At 33.7% G+C, this 16,502-nt stretch overlaps 1 long non-coding RNA gene across 1 annotated transcript; it reads right to left on the reverse strand.

Moving 5' to 3' along the window:
* Positions 1 to 6,184: 6,184 nt before the first annotated feature.
* LOC105377423 (uncharacterized) lies at positions 6,185 to 8,186 on the reverse strand. Its single transcript, XR_939197.2, has 3 exons — positions 8,070 to 8,186; positions 7,173 to 7,290; positions 6,185 to 6,263 (listed from the first exon to the last, which is right to left on the reverse strand). It is a non-coding gene; the product is annotated as an uncharacterized LOC105377423 (long non-coding RNA).
* Positions 8,187 to 16,502: the final 8,316 nt, after the last annotated feature.

The raw sequence follows: 16,502 nt of genomic DNA on the forward strand, positions 1-16,502 counted from the left end.
TTCTCAAAATTCTTCAGAATTTTGTTGTCCTGGAAACTTTGCTCATAATCTTGCAAAAATATATAAAAACATATATAAAGCTTGTAATATTTAAGTATTTTGACACTCAAAAATAGTGTTTCATTTTAATTATACAATTTTTCATTGTATAGAATAATTAGGTTCCAAACTTTCATTGACACACGTATCATGGAGACAAATATTTCATCAACACAATGTTGGATCTAAGATGTTCAGTAATTGATAACATTCTTTCTCCCTATGAAGAAAATTTGGTATAAGTTATATTCCTAAGACTAGAGAGTGTGCATCAGCATCTAATGGTATTTGAAGAAAATTTATTTTATAGAAAGAAAAATTTAAATATAAATTAATATCATTTCAAAAACTCTTAAGATTTGGCTTAGATTTCATTTTATGGTAGTGAATTAAAGTAGCATGATTCATTCTTTTAAAAATTTTTGTGTTAATATTTATTTTGAAGAACTGAGTTACTCTTGACTGAGGAAAAGGATGTTGTATTCATCAAATCTAGTAACAGATCTGCCCAACATGACATTAGTGGAATAGGTACCATTTCATTTATGATTATATTTGAAAAATATAAATAATTCAATGAAAATTAAAATTACAAAGATAAATACCAAGTTTACAGAATCAGGCTGAGTCAACTAATTGTCATAAGTACACTTTACCCAATGGCCATAAACATTTTTAAATACTTCATATATAGATTATATATGATGTATTTTATAATAAAAGCTTAGTTTGACCTATATTTGGGAAAATTTTAAGTATTTTGACATGGATTGCTGCCAATTTATCAAGTTTTGGATTTGAAGAAGTTGAACAATTTGGTACTATTTATGTGGGAGGTATATGTGTGTATACAGAAATTTGATATTTAAATAAAATTTTGTGTTGGAAATGTATTTATTTGAGTGCCTACTCTCTTTGGATTCATATATGAAGATATGTTAAAAATTTATACAATCTGAAATATTTAGAACCAGCTAGAATAACTGAAGAGATATTTCATAGTCTTTGGCTTATCATAATATCTTACCATAGTTAGTAGTAATCTGAAAACCAAACAGTTATTGTGGATCAAATGTATAGCTATGAACTAAATCGGATGTTAAAATTGAGGATTTTGGCTGGGCGTGGTGGCTCATGCCTATAATCCCAGCACTTTGGGAGGCTGAGGCGGGTGGACCACAAGGTCAGGAGTTCAAGACCAACCTGGCCAAGATGGTGAAACCCCATCTCTACTAAAAATACAAAAATTAGCCAGGTGTGGTGGCATCTGCCTGTAATCCCAGCTCTTCGGGAGGCTGAGGCAGAGAATTGTTTAAACCCAGCAGGTGGATATTTCAGTGAGCCAAGATTATGCCACTGCACTCCAGCCTGGGTGACAGAGCGAGACTCTGTCAAAACAAAAAAAAAAAAACAAAAAAAGAATTTTTTTCGTTTAAGAATGGAGAATTTGTGAATTCTGGGTTTGTTGCATACCTCTGGCCAATGAAAACAATATTTCTTGATGCAGTAGAGTTATAAAGTTCATTTGTAAGAATTTTGTAATACTCTGAGATCCTTTTTTTGCCTACCTATGCCTATTTCTTCTTTGTAGATGCTAAAAATATAGTTTAGTTCTGAGTTCTTATTAGCAAATCATTTCAACTTTGTAAGGAAAACTGAATTCCTTAATGATTAGTAATGATTACTATGTCCTACAAAAAGAAATGCTTGGAAAAATAATTATATATTTAGCAGTAATATTCAACAGAGTTAAAGACCGGAGAAAAAATATTTTGCAAATCAAAAAAATTGTACTTTCATATGGGATATATGTTTTCCTGACTGATATGGCATTTAACAACAGGATGTACCTTCAGAGAAATAGACATCTTTGCTCAAAAAATGTTGCTAAAAATGATAAATTTTGTTCAAATCTCTCAAAATCTTTCACACAATAATAACTCAAATTTGTTTCAATGATTTGTACTTTTAGTTTAAATGCACATTAAGAAATATTATAAAGTAACATAAAAGCAAAAACCAGGATTTTCTCTTTCACAAAACTATTGAGCTCTTGAAACTTAAAAAAAATAACAAAAGCAGAAACATAAAACCAAGTATCTTAGCATGAGTGTGTTTTAAACTACTTACTAAGTGACCTCTTCAATGTTGCTTAGCAGAACTATTATAATGAAAAAGAAAAAAACACATCTCTGCTACTAGTTACATTTTGATGTCTTCTAATGACGTACATTTTTTTCTGGTAAAACAATGCCAGGAATATAGAATATTAAGTCTTTGATTCATCTTGTTTTGGATTCACATAAGCAGTCACTACATGGTTTCTTTGTCCACAGGCATATTAATTTCATGTTGTGTCTTTGATATGGTTTAGCTGTGTCTCCACCCAAATCTCATCTTGAATTGTAATCCCCATAATTTCCACATGTCAAGGGCGGGAACAGATGGAGGTAATTGGATCATGGGGGCATTTTCCCTCATGCTGTTCTCATGATAATGAACGAGTCTCATGATATCTGATGGTTTTATAAGCATCTGGCATTTCTCCTACTTGCACTCACTCTGTCCTGCCACCCTGGGAAGAAGGTGCCTGCTTCTCCTTTGCCTTCTGCCATGATTGTAAGTTTTCTGAGGCCTCCCCAGAAATGCAGAACTGAATTAATTAAACCTCTTTCCTTTATAAATTACCCAGTCTCAGGTATTTCTTCATAGCAGTGTGAGAACGAACTAATACAGCCTTACTCAAAGAATTGCCATGAAAGATCTGATTATACCTCCCTTTAAACAAGTCTAGGAGATAACTGCTTCACCCTTTAATGTGTTTTAACAGTGCACACATAGTAAAATGGGCATATAGCACCAAAGTTATATTTGAAATATACTTGCTCTAATTTAGAAATTTTTAAATACAGCCATGTGTCACTTAATGATGGGAAAACTTTCTGAGAAATGCATTCTTAGGTGATTTCATTCTTGTGTGAACATCACAGAATAAATGTACTGACACAAACCTAGATAGTGCAGCCCACTACACAGGTAGGCTATATGGCATAGCATATTGCTCCTAGACTACAAACCTGTTACAGCATGTTCGGGCACTGAATACTGCAGGCAATTATAACAGAGTGGTAAGTATTTGTCTATCTAAACATATCTAACCATAGAAAAGGTACAGAAAAAAATACTGCATGGCTGGGCACAGTGGCTCATGCCTGTAATCTCAGCATTTTGGAAAGCCGAGGCTTGTGGATCACCTGAGGCTAGGAGTTCAAGATCAGCCTGGCCAAGATGGTGAAATTCCATCCCTACTAAAAATATTAAAAATTAGCTGGGCATGGTGGTGCCTGTCTGTAATCCCAGCTACTGGGAGGGCTGAGGCAGGAGAATTGGTTGAACCCAGGAGGCAGAGGTTGCAGTGAGCTGAGATCGCCACAAACATCCAAATGAATAACCAACAAATACATTTACACCTTATATTTTAGTTCTCCTATACTATTAACAATAATGCAAATTTTAACTAAGTCTGTGATAATATAAATAATATAATTGCTAAAATAACATTGGCTTAAGCAAGGTGAAATGTATTTCACTCTCATAAAAGTACACACGTGCAGTGCAGTTCTACTCCATGATGTAACCCTGACTGTTTCCTTCTTCATATCACCTTCATATTCATATTCATAAGATGTTTCACTTTCTGTGTGAGGTGCAGAATAGCTTAAACTCATGTTTATATTCCAGTTTAAGTGAAGAGGGAAGTGAGAAGAAAAGGGTCTCCATTCTCTTTTTAAGGACATCATATCACTTAGACTCAGCTCCATTTGACCAGAATGATTAAACATAGCTTTAAGAGGGCCGAGGTTTGAGAACTTTATTTTGAGTAAGAATAAGTAACAGTAAAAATTACAATGCTTATTATCATGGTAATTGAGGTAATAACAATCCTATCATCTGTCAAAAACAAACAAAAATGCTACATAAGCTACATTAGGTGTTTCATATTAATATAATTTAATAAAAAATTGATGGGCATCAGTGATCTAAAAAGGTGTGAGAGACAGAGATGTAGAGAATAGAAATTTTAGCAAGCAGCTATCATTTTTATAACTGAGGGAACAAAAACAGAAGAGGTGCAGTTTCTAAAATCTAGGAGCATTGTTGAAGGGCCTCCTCCCCAGGAGATGTGTGCACTTGAAGAATTCACACTTTGGAGAACAGACTGTGACTATTGGAGAAGAGATCATTTAGGATAGAGCTAGAAGCTTGAAGGACCATTAGCTTAGAGAAATAGGAAGAAGTAGGAAGACAGTTGGAATGCAAAAGGAAAATAATACAATTTCTCCTGTCCTCCTAATAAGAAAACAATTGCAAAAGAACTTTGGAATGCAGAATCCTACAGTATATTACTGAAGAGTGGGCTGATTCTGACTAGCATATTCTGAAGGCAAAAATTACCTTATTCTCTTTCCAAAAATAAGAGAAACAATAGCTACTATATCCCTTTCCAGTTTTTATTAAATCTGATTTTTAATACAATCCCACTCTTGTATATTCCATAATTTGAAGACTAACATTTGAAATTAACCACCACTACTAATCTGAAATCAGAGAAATAAAAAAGAAGGTAAGTATGTAGTAGATGGACAGATAATAGATGGTAGGTAAATTAGATAGATAGATAGATAGATAGACAGATAGATAAATTGACAGATCATCAAGAGAGGGAGAAAATACACATAGTAATACTGTTTTGTTTGTGTTCATGGTAATAAAGCTACAGTTTGTTATAATAACTTTATTCTCCCACCAGTTATTCCATATTTTCTTTATTCTCATCTAGTACCTCAGCTGGTCAGGGTTCTATATCTGATAAGGTAATCAAAACTTTATTCCCCAATACTCTACATTCCCAAGTACCTCTGCCTTTGTAAGGTTACAGTATTTTTTTAATTAACTTATGTGGTTGATCATCAACTAATAAAATCCCTAAAAATACTTCCAAGTTTCAGATATTGTTCTCCCTGTTCTCACTGTGTGTCAGCAACCCAAAAAGTTCCCCCTCTGGCAATTGTGATCAGTTGTCATCCCAGCCAGTACAGATATTTACTTTTTTGACTAAATATTCAGTGGCATGTGTAGCTTCAAACTGCAAAGTTCTAGTGTTGTGTTCCCATTCAATGGAACCATTATTTCCTCTGTTAAAAACATTCCCTTTTTGGTAACCCTGAACTCTACACCAATCAATGATAACCACAAATAATGTTTTACTAGGTGGAATTCAGGATTCTGACAAGTGGGAAAGATAGAGGGACAGGAAGCTTTTCTCAGAAGAGAGTAATTATCCACAGAAGGGAACATGGCTTTACCCTAAAACCCTAAGCACTTGCACCATAATATTCTGAATGTGGCTTGGTAGTCACTCTGTAGAGTATCCTGTTTTACCATAAATGCTTCAAGTACCACTGGATGTACTTAATTATAAAAACTAATAGGAAGAGTTGTCTAAATATCCTTCAGAGCATTTTCTTGCTTTAGGCCTCACTGAAAACTGGAAATCTTATGAGCTTTTCAGTAAATAGGACAGACAAATACACACAAATTTGCATATGGTATCTCAATTTTCAATATGCTCAACACATTTGGCCTATTTCTTGATTGTAAGGATTACAAGATTCAGAAACATATATATGTATATATTTACTTTAGAGTAATTATTCTGGCATGCCAGACACCACTGGAACCTGAGAAACTTAATTGGCATTACAGGTTTTGGCAACTTCCTGAGTTTAACTCAGCTTACTGTGCACACATCTTAGAGAGGCATCTTTGAGCTCGTTACTTTCTGATCATCAAATTCGGTCAACTTATGTCCTCAGTAAAGTGGACCAGAATAATAGTTTAATGTAATGTCAGCCTGACTATAATATGGCAAGAAGCAAGAATATTGACACAGCCCCAAAGTGAGTGAAGTTGCACTTTTGTCTCAGCTAGTAAAAAGAAAATGCTTCTGCTGTTCTTTGCAATAGTTACATAGAAATGTGTCCTGGTGTTCGGTGCTATAATACATTTCACCTGCAACTGAAGTCACCATCTAATTAAGTTTATTACAATTAATAATTCTTATCTATGATTCAGCAAACTTTTGTCCAAGCCAAAGAGGCAGAAAACGGGAAAGGAGAGATGCCATCCTTCCATTTCCAAGTCTTTGATTGCGCCAATGATCTCTGAAATTCCACGAAGATAATATATTATGAATAGCTCATTATTCTGGTAGGGAGAAATTCCTGGAATTTACATTGACCCTTCCTCAAATAATAGTCTCACTCCATGGGTAAAGGGGATGATGCAGAGATTTCACCATTTGTTGAGCAGGCCTGTGGTAGTTATACAATTAGGTACTGGGAAAATAACCCAAAAATATATGTGTAGGCCCTCTGAACTTGATGTGAGACAGCTCACAGTAAAACTCCATATATCATTTGACCTCCAGAGGATCACATCATAATCTTGGATCGCAGTGGAGTTTTGGAACCTAGGATTTAGTGTAAATTCTTGAAATACAAGAATATTTTCTCTTTCCTCTACACACAGTCATCTCACAAACTGACCATGGGTTTATTTAAATATAGCTGATAATAGGTTAAAGAAAATGATGCCACATATTAGTCAAAGTCCAAAGGAGGAAAAGTGAGGAGGGAAGAAGAAAAGTATCTCTTTTTCTATCTTCTAATCTCCTTGTACTGCCTTCCACTGGCAAAAATTAACAGCTAGGGTAGGTTGCCAAGGAGCTTCAGAAATCCAACTTGCATACACCCAGCTCCAGATTTACAGAGCAGCACATAGATAGATAGGCTAGGGACGGAGATACAATAAAAACATAACCAGCAATGCTAAGCAACTAGCTATTTCTGTCATAATGAGAAATTAATAGCATAAACCTTAATTATATAACTGAGAAACCATTTATTTTTATATATTTAAATATTTGCATCCAAACAACTTTCTTGCACCATTCTTGCAGAATATATTAGGTATTAATTGATAGGTAACATACTACTCAAAATTTAATGGCGTAAAATCATTGCTTATGTATAAGCTATGCTTGTTTTTAAGCTTCAGTTGGACTGACTTACCTGTTTTTGATGAACTGCAGATTGGGTAGGTAGCTCTAAATATATTGGCTCGGTCTCATATCTAGAGCCACTGGGACAACTGGGCTTTCTTCCACATAGTCTATGAATGTTTATCTAGCTAGAACAGGCAAGAAATGGCGGTGGTTTATTTCTAAGTGAGTGAACCAAATCATTCATGATTTTATGATGATTAGGCTGGACACTGGCAAATAATCCCTTTCTCTACATAGTCTTGGTCTAGCAAAGTAAAACCAGAACTGATAAATAAAGGGTTAAAAAAATAAACTCTACTTCTTAATACAAGAAGCTGAAAGACATGATGTAAAAAAAAACACTGTAGCAATCAGCTTCCATTAACTCCATTGCTTGGTATATATGACTTTATCTATTCTCCTACATTGTATCAGAGTTAGTCTCTAGGACAAATGGCATGTGGCAAAAGTGATGATATGTTACTTTAGAGACTAAATCTTAAAAGATGGTCTAGCTATCGCCTTGCCCTCTCTCTCTGATTATTTGTTCGGAGTCAGATGTGGTGAGGAAATGAGTTGTACTGCCAACAGTGCTCAGAAGAAGATTCTCAACCAAGTTAAGTATTCAGCAATGGCAGCTCTGGCCGATATTTCAACTGCAATCTTGTGAGATGCCATGAGCCAGATTTATACAATTAAGCTTTTCACAGACTGCAGAAGCTCAGGAAACATTTGACATAATGTGTGTTGCTTTAAGCTGCTAAGGTTTGGGATAATTTGTTACATAGTAATATATAACTAATCCAGGTGTGAATACGAGAAGATAGCTACTTTTGGCAAACAAGCTGAGATACAGAACTTTGAGAGATGTAATTCACCTTTTGAAAATGAATTCAGGTATTATTAATCTTGTTGTATAACTTACCAGTATAGCTTATCTGCAACAAATAGACCTCTAAGTTCTTCTAATTCAATTTCCTGAATGCATCATAGTTTAGCTCATTGGATGCCTTTTCCAAAGCAACAAAAAATTTTAAGGAAAAATTTGGTTCCATATCAATGAAGAAAATATTATCACGATCTAGAAATAAGCAGCTTGAGGAATGGGCGAAATATCAAAATTTGAGCAAATGTTAAAGGACTTTGAGATAAAGTATAATGACTAAATAATACTGTTTTTTGAAGAGGCTGATGTAGAGACTTAACATATAGCCCTATGGCAAAAATAAAAGGACTAAGAGTTATTAAACTTTTCTTATGTATCAAGTGCTTTTTTAAAGATTAGTCTAAATCTAACAACAGAAATCTTATGTGTTATATTACAGATATGAACACTGAAATTCAGAAATAGTAGTTATAGCACTAATCCAAGGGCTTTCTAAGTAATACTAAAATTCATAAGCATTACAGGAAAAAAAGACTTTATTTGATAACAGCTTGATGAAACAAATACAAAGAAACTCAAAAGGAAAAAGCCAAAATACATATGACAAGCTGGGATATAAAAGAATGGAATATCTTTGAGATAAAAACTCCAGCTTTCTTAATATACAAAGAGATTTTACACAGCATTTTTTTAAAAAAATCATGAAACCCCAAACTAATATCTTATTACAAAAATATGTAAGTGGCTTATAAGTATATGAAATGAGTTTTCGAGAGGAAAAATGCAAATCAAATAATAAAATATTGTCATCTATAAGATTTTTAAGAATTAAAATTTATCAGTGTTGGCAATGAGGAAAATTCAAGCACTACAATACCCTGTAGAATAGTGTAAATTGGTAAGTATTTTCTAAACAGCAATTTTTGTATATTTGTAGTTTAAATGCATACAATATGGTGTTGAACAAAACATACTACTTGTCAGAAATTTAAATAAGTCTCCAATATGAAACCAAAATTCTAAATAATTCAATTGTAAAGAGAATATGAAGTGCTTCCCAAAAGAGGCATTTTTATCTGAATAATTTTCATGGTTTGATAATTTGCCAACCTTCCTTTCTACCTTCTAGAGTTGGGAGTAAAATGGAACAACTTGGTAAAGTTAACAGGGTAAATAGCTTTTGAAAAATGTGCATGTTCATTGAGAATATGCAAATTTATCCCAGGCAGAATGGATCCGCCACCTCTGCAGGTGGCTGAATTAATGCCATTTAATTTGAAAGAGGACAGTGTTCTGCCAGTGTCAGGAGTAGAGGAGAGGAGAATGAGGTTTAAAAAGAGCTTGATGTCCCACATAAGATGACTATAGGGTGGAGAAGCACCAGAGTCTCTGAAAAATCAATGTGTTTTCCACAATAGAGTCTATTTACATAAAAAATACAAGGGCAGGCAGCTTGTCCTTATTCATATCTCAATAAAAATAGAATTATAATTCGGTTCAGTTAGGTAAAACATAGTTACCCTTTTTTATTAGTCCCTATTCTACTTTTCTTCAGTAACCCCAGAGGAGTTGGAACCTGGACAGGGATTGTCTGTATGTACACATGAACACACTGACCTTTTTGGTCCCAACGTATCTCTAGCATGTATTTGGAAAATAGCTTTGCATTAGCTTAACATTTTTAAGTTAGGATGTACTAATTATTGCTAGCTAAAAAAAAAAAAAAACAAAAGATATGCTCATGATATCAGTAAGCTATAATAGGGATGATTCAACATCACACAGTTGAGAACACTGACTATAAAAGAAAAACACCTTCATATGTAATCCTAGCAATTTGAGCACTTTAATAATCCATACTTTAAAAAATGCTACCAGCTACGTGTGTATTGATTTTCTCACTGCAGCACTGTCTGCAATAGAGAAAAATGGGAAGCAAACAAGATACACAGTCATAGTAACTTTGAACCTCATTTATCCTGGTGACATATTTGCATACTCTAAAAACAGACTTAATTTGGAAAAAGAGAAAAAATTACTGTCATTCACTCCCAGAATTTTTATTATAATTTCCCTTGTGTTACTCATAAAATGATTGGCATAATAATAAGAAAAACCTACCAATGGTTTCTTCATTGTCTGGAATATTAGAATCAGTATATAGTCTACTCATGTTAACAGTTTGACAAAACAACATGTTTATTTTTGCTATTGAGGTTATCATATGTCTTGAAACTTAAATCATCCTCATCTCTTTACATTCAATAATTTTCAAACAAATCTTTATAAGCTTTTCTTTTGTTTAAACAAAAATGTCTTCAAAGTTTGAGTCATCACTTAGGGACACTGAAAATATTTCAAAAACAGATATACCAAAGGTTTATTTTTATGCTTAAGCTTTACATTTAAAAATTTACAAACCGAATGCCCTAATAAGATATAAAATACTGTGTTCCATTCCACTTTTTCATCCCCCCACAACACACACACACAAAAAACAGAAAGAAACCAAACCCCACAAATAATTGTTTTTTAATTTTTTCTTAAACATCCACTAATCCCAAATTTTTACAAGTATGTGGCTACAGCTCAACCCATGAAGCAAAGCTTATTTAGAGAGTATCGACTGTTTTAATTACTAATGGTATCAATGTTTGTATAAAAAGAGAAAGATAAATTGAGTTTAAGAGAGGTATAATGCTACCACAACTTTATAAGTAAAGGTAATTGGAATCAGGCACTGATACTTCTTTTCATAAAAGTCTTCAGAGAAGTTATAGAGGGTAGCCCTGTCTGTTTTCTGTCCTATTTCTTATTATCAATATTTATTAATGCAAATGTCATTTACCAAAGCTTGATAAACTGAGCTCTAAACTTTTGTTTCTTTCCTTTCAGTGAGGAACTCTGACAATAGGACCTAAAGGTCTCATACTATTCATATGTCTTTGCTTCTGATGTTTGCTGACTGGCAGCAGTGTATCCCTAGATCACATCTACCTGCCTAAGTCCCAGGCACAACCTGTTAATAGCACTTCCTACAAATTGAACAGGCTGTGGACCTCTTTAAGATTTTAAATAAAATGCATCTGTGAAGCACTGATTCACTTTGGCAACTGAAAACCAAGCCTTCAATTCTGTAATTCATTTCTTGAAAGAGAATATTGATTTGCAAAACTCTAGGGACGGGGAGAATTCTTCTCCCAACCCTCAAAGGTTTGAGTCTACTGAAATAAACTGACAATAGATGGATAAACAGGAGAAAAGACATACAAAGTCATTGATGCGCATAGTCATGAGAGCCATACAAAATATGAGAAACAAAGAAACAACAGATGGTTGAAGTTTATAGGGGAGCTTCACAGGGGAAAGGGAGATGGGGAAAATGTAAGTAATTTTGAGAGGTTGTAAATAGTTTTTAGAGACAGTGAATGGATCTAAACAACAGACAATAGCTTGTAAATGATTCTCTTTGGACACTGAATGTGATCAAATTATGGAAGGTGAGAGGTAGAACTGCAATTTAAACAAAGGTTGTCTTGTTATGCGGATAAAGTCTCTTAGTATCTCTGGGCTTCTCTCAGAAGAATAGATTAAAAGTCTGTCTGGGCATGATGACAACTTTTAGTCTCTTCTTTTCTCTGGTGGTCAGTCCAACATGCTTATTTGATAAGATTCCTGTGGAGAAGTTTTTAAGACAATTGCATTTCTTTTGGAAGAATGAATGATTGTAAATGAATTATTTAATTCAATTATCTAATCTAATCTCTTTGCAATTCTTCAAATTGCCTGACTTGTAAATCTTTATAGCAGTATTCAGCAAATTGCATTTTGTGGAAATTCAAGTTTCCCAAGCTACATTTTTTGTTTTTGGCGGGGGGAGGAACTTTTCCTCAGTCAGGTAAAGGAACTCCCAGAAAGACCCCTTCCTACTTTTGGGAGAGGGGCAAGAGAAGATTAGAAAGTCCTTGGTTCTGAGCTTCTAAAACCTTCTGATTTTCTTTCACTCAAAAGTGCTCAGCATGCCAAAGCATCATACTTTAGTATCATTCTTTGTGCCCCAACTATGCAAAATTAAATATGGATGTGAACTCAGTTATTTAAAATTATGTTAGTTAAATATGCATGTAATATGTGAGCAATATGTTTATGATTTACTGCTATATTTTAGGAAAAGTAAACATTAGATAAGATAAATGACAAGAGAAATCAGAAAAGGGGGAAGTATAAGAACATATAGGCTGAGAATAAACGAGTAGATGGTGATAAACTACAAAGAGAAGTACAATAGTAGAAACAGTGTCAAAGAAAGCAAAGATTATGAAAGAAGTCAATATGCAGATAACGAAGAGAAAGTAAAAGAGCAGCCAAGGACTATGAGAAAGATGGAAAGGTAATTAGTAAGTTCTAAGTTATCAGTCAAAGTGCATTGCTCTTAACATGTATTTTTAATTAAACAATGCATTTTAGTAGAATTTCACACTGGGTTTTTATAAATGAATGATCTAATTACCCTCTTTTCACAGTTTTTCAAATTGCCTAACTAGAAAATCTTTAAAGCAGCATTTGTAAATTGTATATGGTGAAAATTCAGGTTTCTCCAGAAATGCCTCAATGCTCTGTTAAAATAAATCTTTAGACAAATTAAACGTAGAAAATTTTAATTGAGCAAAGAGTGATTTGCAAATTGAGCAGCCCCCAGACCAGAATAAGTTCAGAGCAACTACAGGGCTGCCACATGGTCAGATAACGTTTAAGGACAGAAAGTGAAAAGTGATGCAAACAGAAAATAGAAGTGAGATACAGAAACACCCAGATTGGTTACAGCTCAGCATTTGCCTTATTTGAACCTGCTTTACACACTTAGCTGCCTATAGTTGACTAAAGTTTGGCTGCTCTTATTGCCTGAGACTCAGCTACTTGTTACAAGCATAGGTTAGTCCATTTACACATCAAGTTGAGTTACAGTTCATTATGTATGAAGAAATCTTCAGGCCAAACTTAAGTAAAGGAGGCAGCTTTAGGCCAAACATAACTTAACAGGTATAGTGTTTAATTCTAATTCAATTTAATTTTAAATATTTTAAAACAACAATAAAAAACACAAAGGCTCAAAAATATTATGTAGAAGTCTGTAACCCATTGTGATCTTAGCTGCTGGATTAACTGTTTATTTTTATTTATTTATTTTTTTTTGAGACAGAGTCTCACTCTGTCACCCAGGCTGGAGTGCAGTGGCACTATCTGGGCTCACTGCAAGCTCCACCTCCCGGGTTCACGCTGTTCTCCTGCCTCAGCCTCCCTCGTAGCTGGGACTACAGGCGCCCACCACCATGACCAGCCAATTTTTTGTATTTTTAGTAGAGACGGGGTTTCACCGTGTTAGACTGGATGGTCTCGATCTCCTGACCTCGTGATCTGCCCGCCTTGGCCTCCCAGAGTGCTTGGATTACAGGTGTGAGCCACTGCACCTGGCCCTGTTTATTTTTATTTTTATTTTTGTTTCAGACATCAGGATAAAGTTTCTCCTGCCATTTCTGTTTAAATCAATTGCATCTTTTAAAGTAGAAGGCATAATGTTAAAAAAAAAGAAGCATTTATATTTTGAACCATTCATCTGAGTGAATCAAGATTTTTTCATAGTTTATGAATTTAAAGAAAGAGAAACCTGATTTAATGTTCACATTAAAATAAACATTATAATATTAATTAAGTATAAAATAAAGCATTATTTATTTTGATCAGAATTTACTGAAAAGTTTTATTTTGAAAACAAACAAAAAGCCAAATTGAGTACTAGTAGAGCAGTTTTAAGCAATTAAATCCAGGTCAGACTTCAACCCAGAATAGTAGTGCTCACATTTTACTACCTCTCTGTGAAAGAAGGGCATTTTGATTTTCCTCTTCATATTCATTTCAGGAACTGGAAAAAATTCTTTTTAAAAAAATACACTAAAACTAAAACAGCTCATCATATTGATTCCCCAAGGAAGTTTTGACTTACAGACAGCAAATTAAGAGCAAGCGCAGGGTCCTTGTGGTTATTTCTTTCAACATGCAAAACAATTTTCCTTTTATAAATGAGTTTAGCTAATGTGCCTTTGAGATGATTCATAGTTCACTGACAGCTGTTTACCTTCAAGCCCACCTCAGATAATTTACCCTTCTCTCTAGTCGCATTTGAATTCAACATAAACATGCTCAGTAAATTCTCTTGGTAACAAGTTAAAGGTTAGATTGTCTTTCGGCAATGGATTTGATTTCCAACCAGGTGGAAAGCAGAGAAAGAAGTTGCAGATACTTGCAAGAGCAAAATTAAAGACAGGAAATTTTAATTGGCCTCTAGGTATGACTATTATTGGTTAAATTCTGATTAAGTGGTGTAAATTACATTTTATTAGTATGTACCTAATATTATTCAGATTTACCATATTCTATTTTCTTTATGTTTGTATAATTTCGAGATCACTAACTTATTAAAATATGCAATGTGATATAAAACCCAATTATATAATTCATATATTTAAAGTTTTCAATGTGAATACCACTCAAAAACCTTTCTGAAGATATTATTTACAAAAAGTTCAGAAATGATGCCTACTCTTTAAGGTCACATTAGAAAACTGTAGTGTAGAACACATTATGATATATATTTGCTTTATTTTCTTATAGTGGTGGATTAAATATAATAGGTCACATATTATGGCTTAGAAAATATTTTGAGTATCATAAATATTCTGTTCTCCAAACACTCTGTAAGATAGACTGCAAATTTTCTTATTTCCATTTTAAAATAAATAATAATAAAAGCTCAGTGACTTGACCTTTGTTACACTATTGGTAAAGTAAAACCAGAAACCATACCATACATATATACTTCAAAACTTTAAGCCATACTGCTTGTACAATATATTTTATTCTAGCACAGATGCCCAAAGTAAAGCAAACATTTTTGTTTTATTTCTCCCAGTTCTAAAATACTGGGTTTGCTGATTTTTAATTTCTACACAAATATAACTGGTGAAGATATGTTTCCCAAAGACCTTTTTTGATTTGGTTGGCTGATTACTATCATTTGAGGATCTTAATTTACCTCCTTAAAAAAATCTTTGATAAGGTTGGTTGTTGGAGTGGGTTATAGGATGTGGTCGGGGTAGCCATAGAGAAAATAAAAAAAGATTCATATTTTCACTGACCTCTTTACACATTTTGCTGCAAGATTATATTTACACAGTTCTAAAGAAAGTTTTGAGCGTTGTATGATTGAGGCTAATAAATGAACTTTGTTTTTTTTCTGAGTTTTGGGCACTAGGAAAAGTATTACTCTAACAGAAAAGACAGATACTGGAAGAAATCTAGATTTTTTGGAAATCTTAATTTTGGGTAATATTCATTTGATTTTAACTGATAGACAGTAGATTAATGCCAAATGCCGCTTTTCAGCAGCATAGCGTGAAGATTCGTAACCCTGGCATCACCTCCAGAGATTGTGCTTCAATTACTTGGTTAGAGCCCAGACACTGCTATTTGTATAAGCGTCCCATGAGAGGCTAAAATGCTGCCATGGTTGAAATCCAATGGTGAAACTCACGCTAGTTTTGGGGCTGAAAAACCTGGGCTTTCGCTCATTAAACACAGGTGTGGATCATGCTGCTATTTAACTTTTTTAAAATATCAGATCCTTTCTCTGTAAAATGAGGTTATTAAAGCTTATTTTGAAGAGTTTCTGTGAAGATTGTTAATTATCCATATCTTCCTGTTTTGTTGACCATTACATACTGGATTTTTTTTCTTACCGATTTTTTATTAAGAAAAAACACATCTAAATTAAAAATTTGGAAAAAAAATCAATTTTTAAAAATGAAATGCCTGCAAAGGAGATTAGGTGGAAATGAACTATTTTCACACAACACAGAGCAACATTTCTCATAAAATTGTTTCAGATATGGGACTATCTCTAAGTCCCATTTATCCAGCAGCCTTATCTCCAAACCCCTTTGCTCATTGTTAACTGTACTCCCAGTGCTAGTTCTCTCTCATTTTCCTCTGTTGCTTCTCTTTTCCTCCAACTTCCATAGTTTATATATTTTCTCTTCTATGTAGATCTCCTTTTTGTTTATGTCAATCTATTTAGTGTCTCCCAGCTTCTCTTAAACCTCTTTTTCACAAATTAATCTTCACTATAAAGGCCTAGAAGCTTAAGTGTACAGATAAAACAAAAACAAAAACTAAACAAGACAACTCCTTTAATGGCCACTTACAAAGTGAACAATTTTCAAGAATTCTTATATAGCTAGAATGTTTTTATAAATGAATAAAGAGTACTAAGAAATAAAAACTGAAATTTACTATGCCCCCACCAAAAAGTTTAAACTACCTAACCAAAGGAAGATCCCTGTTTTCTGAAGCAGAGAGAAAGCGGCCCAGTTGCTAGAATTTAAAGCAGCTTTATTTCAGTCTGTAGGCAATAGTAAC

Source organism: Homo sapiens, chromosome 4 (assembly GCF_000001405.40).
Source record: "Homo sapiens chromosome 4, GRCh38.p14 Primary Assembly".
In the NCBI taxonomy this organism is placed as follows: Eukaryota; Metazoa; Chordata; class Mammalia; order Primates; family Hominidae; genus Homo; species Homo sapiens.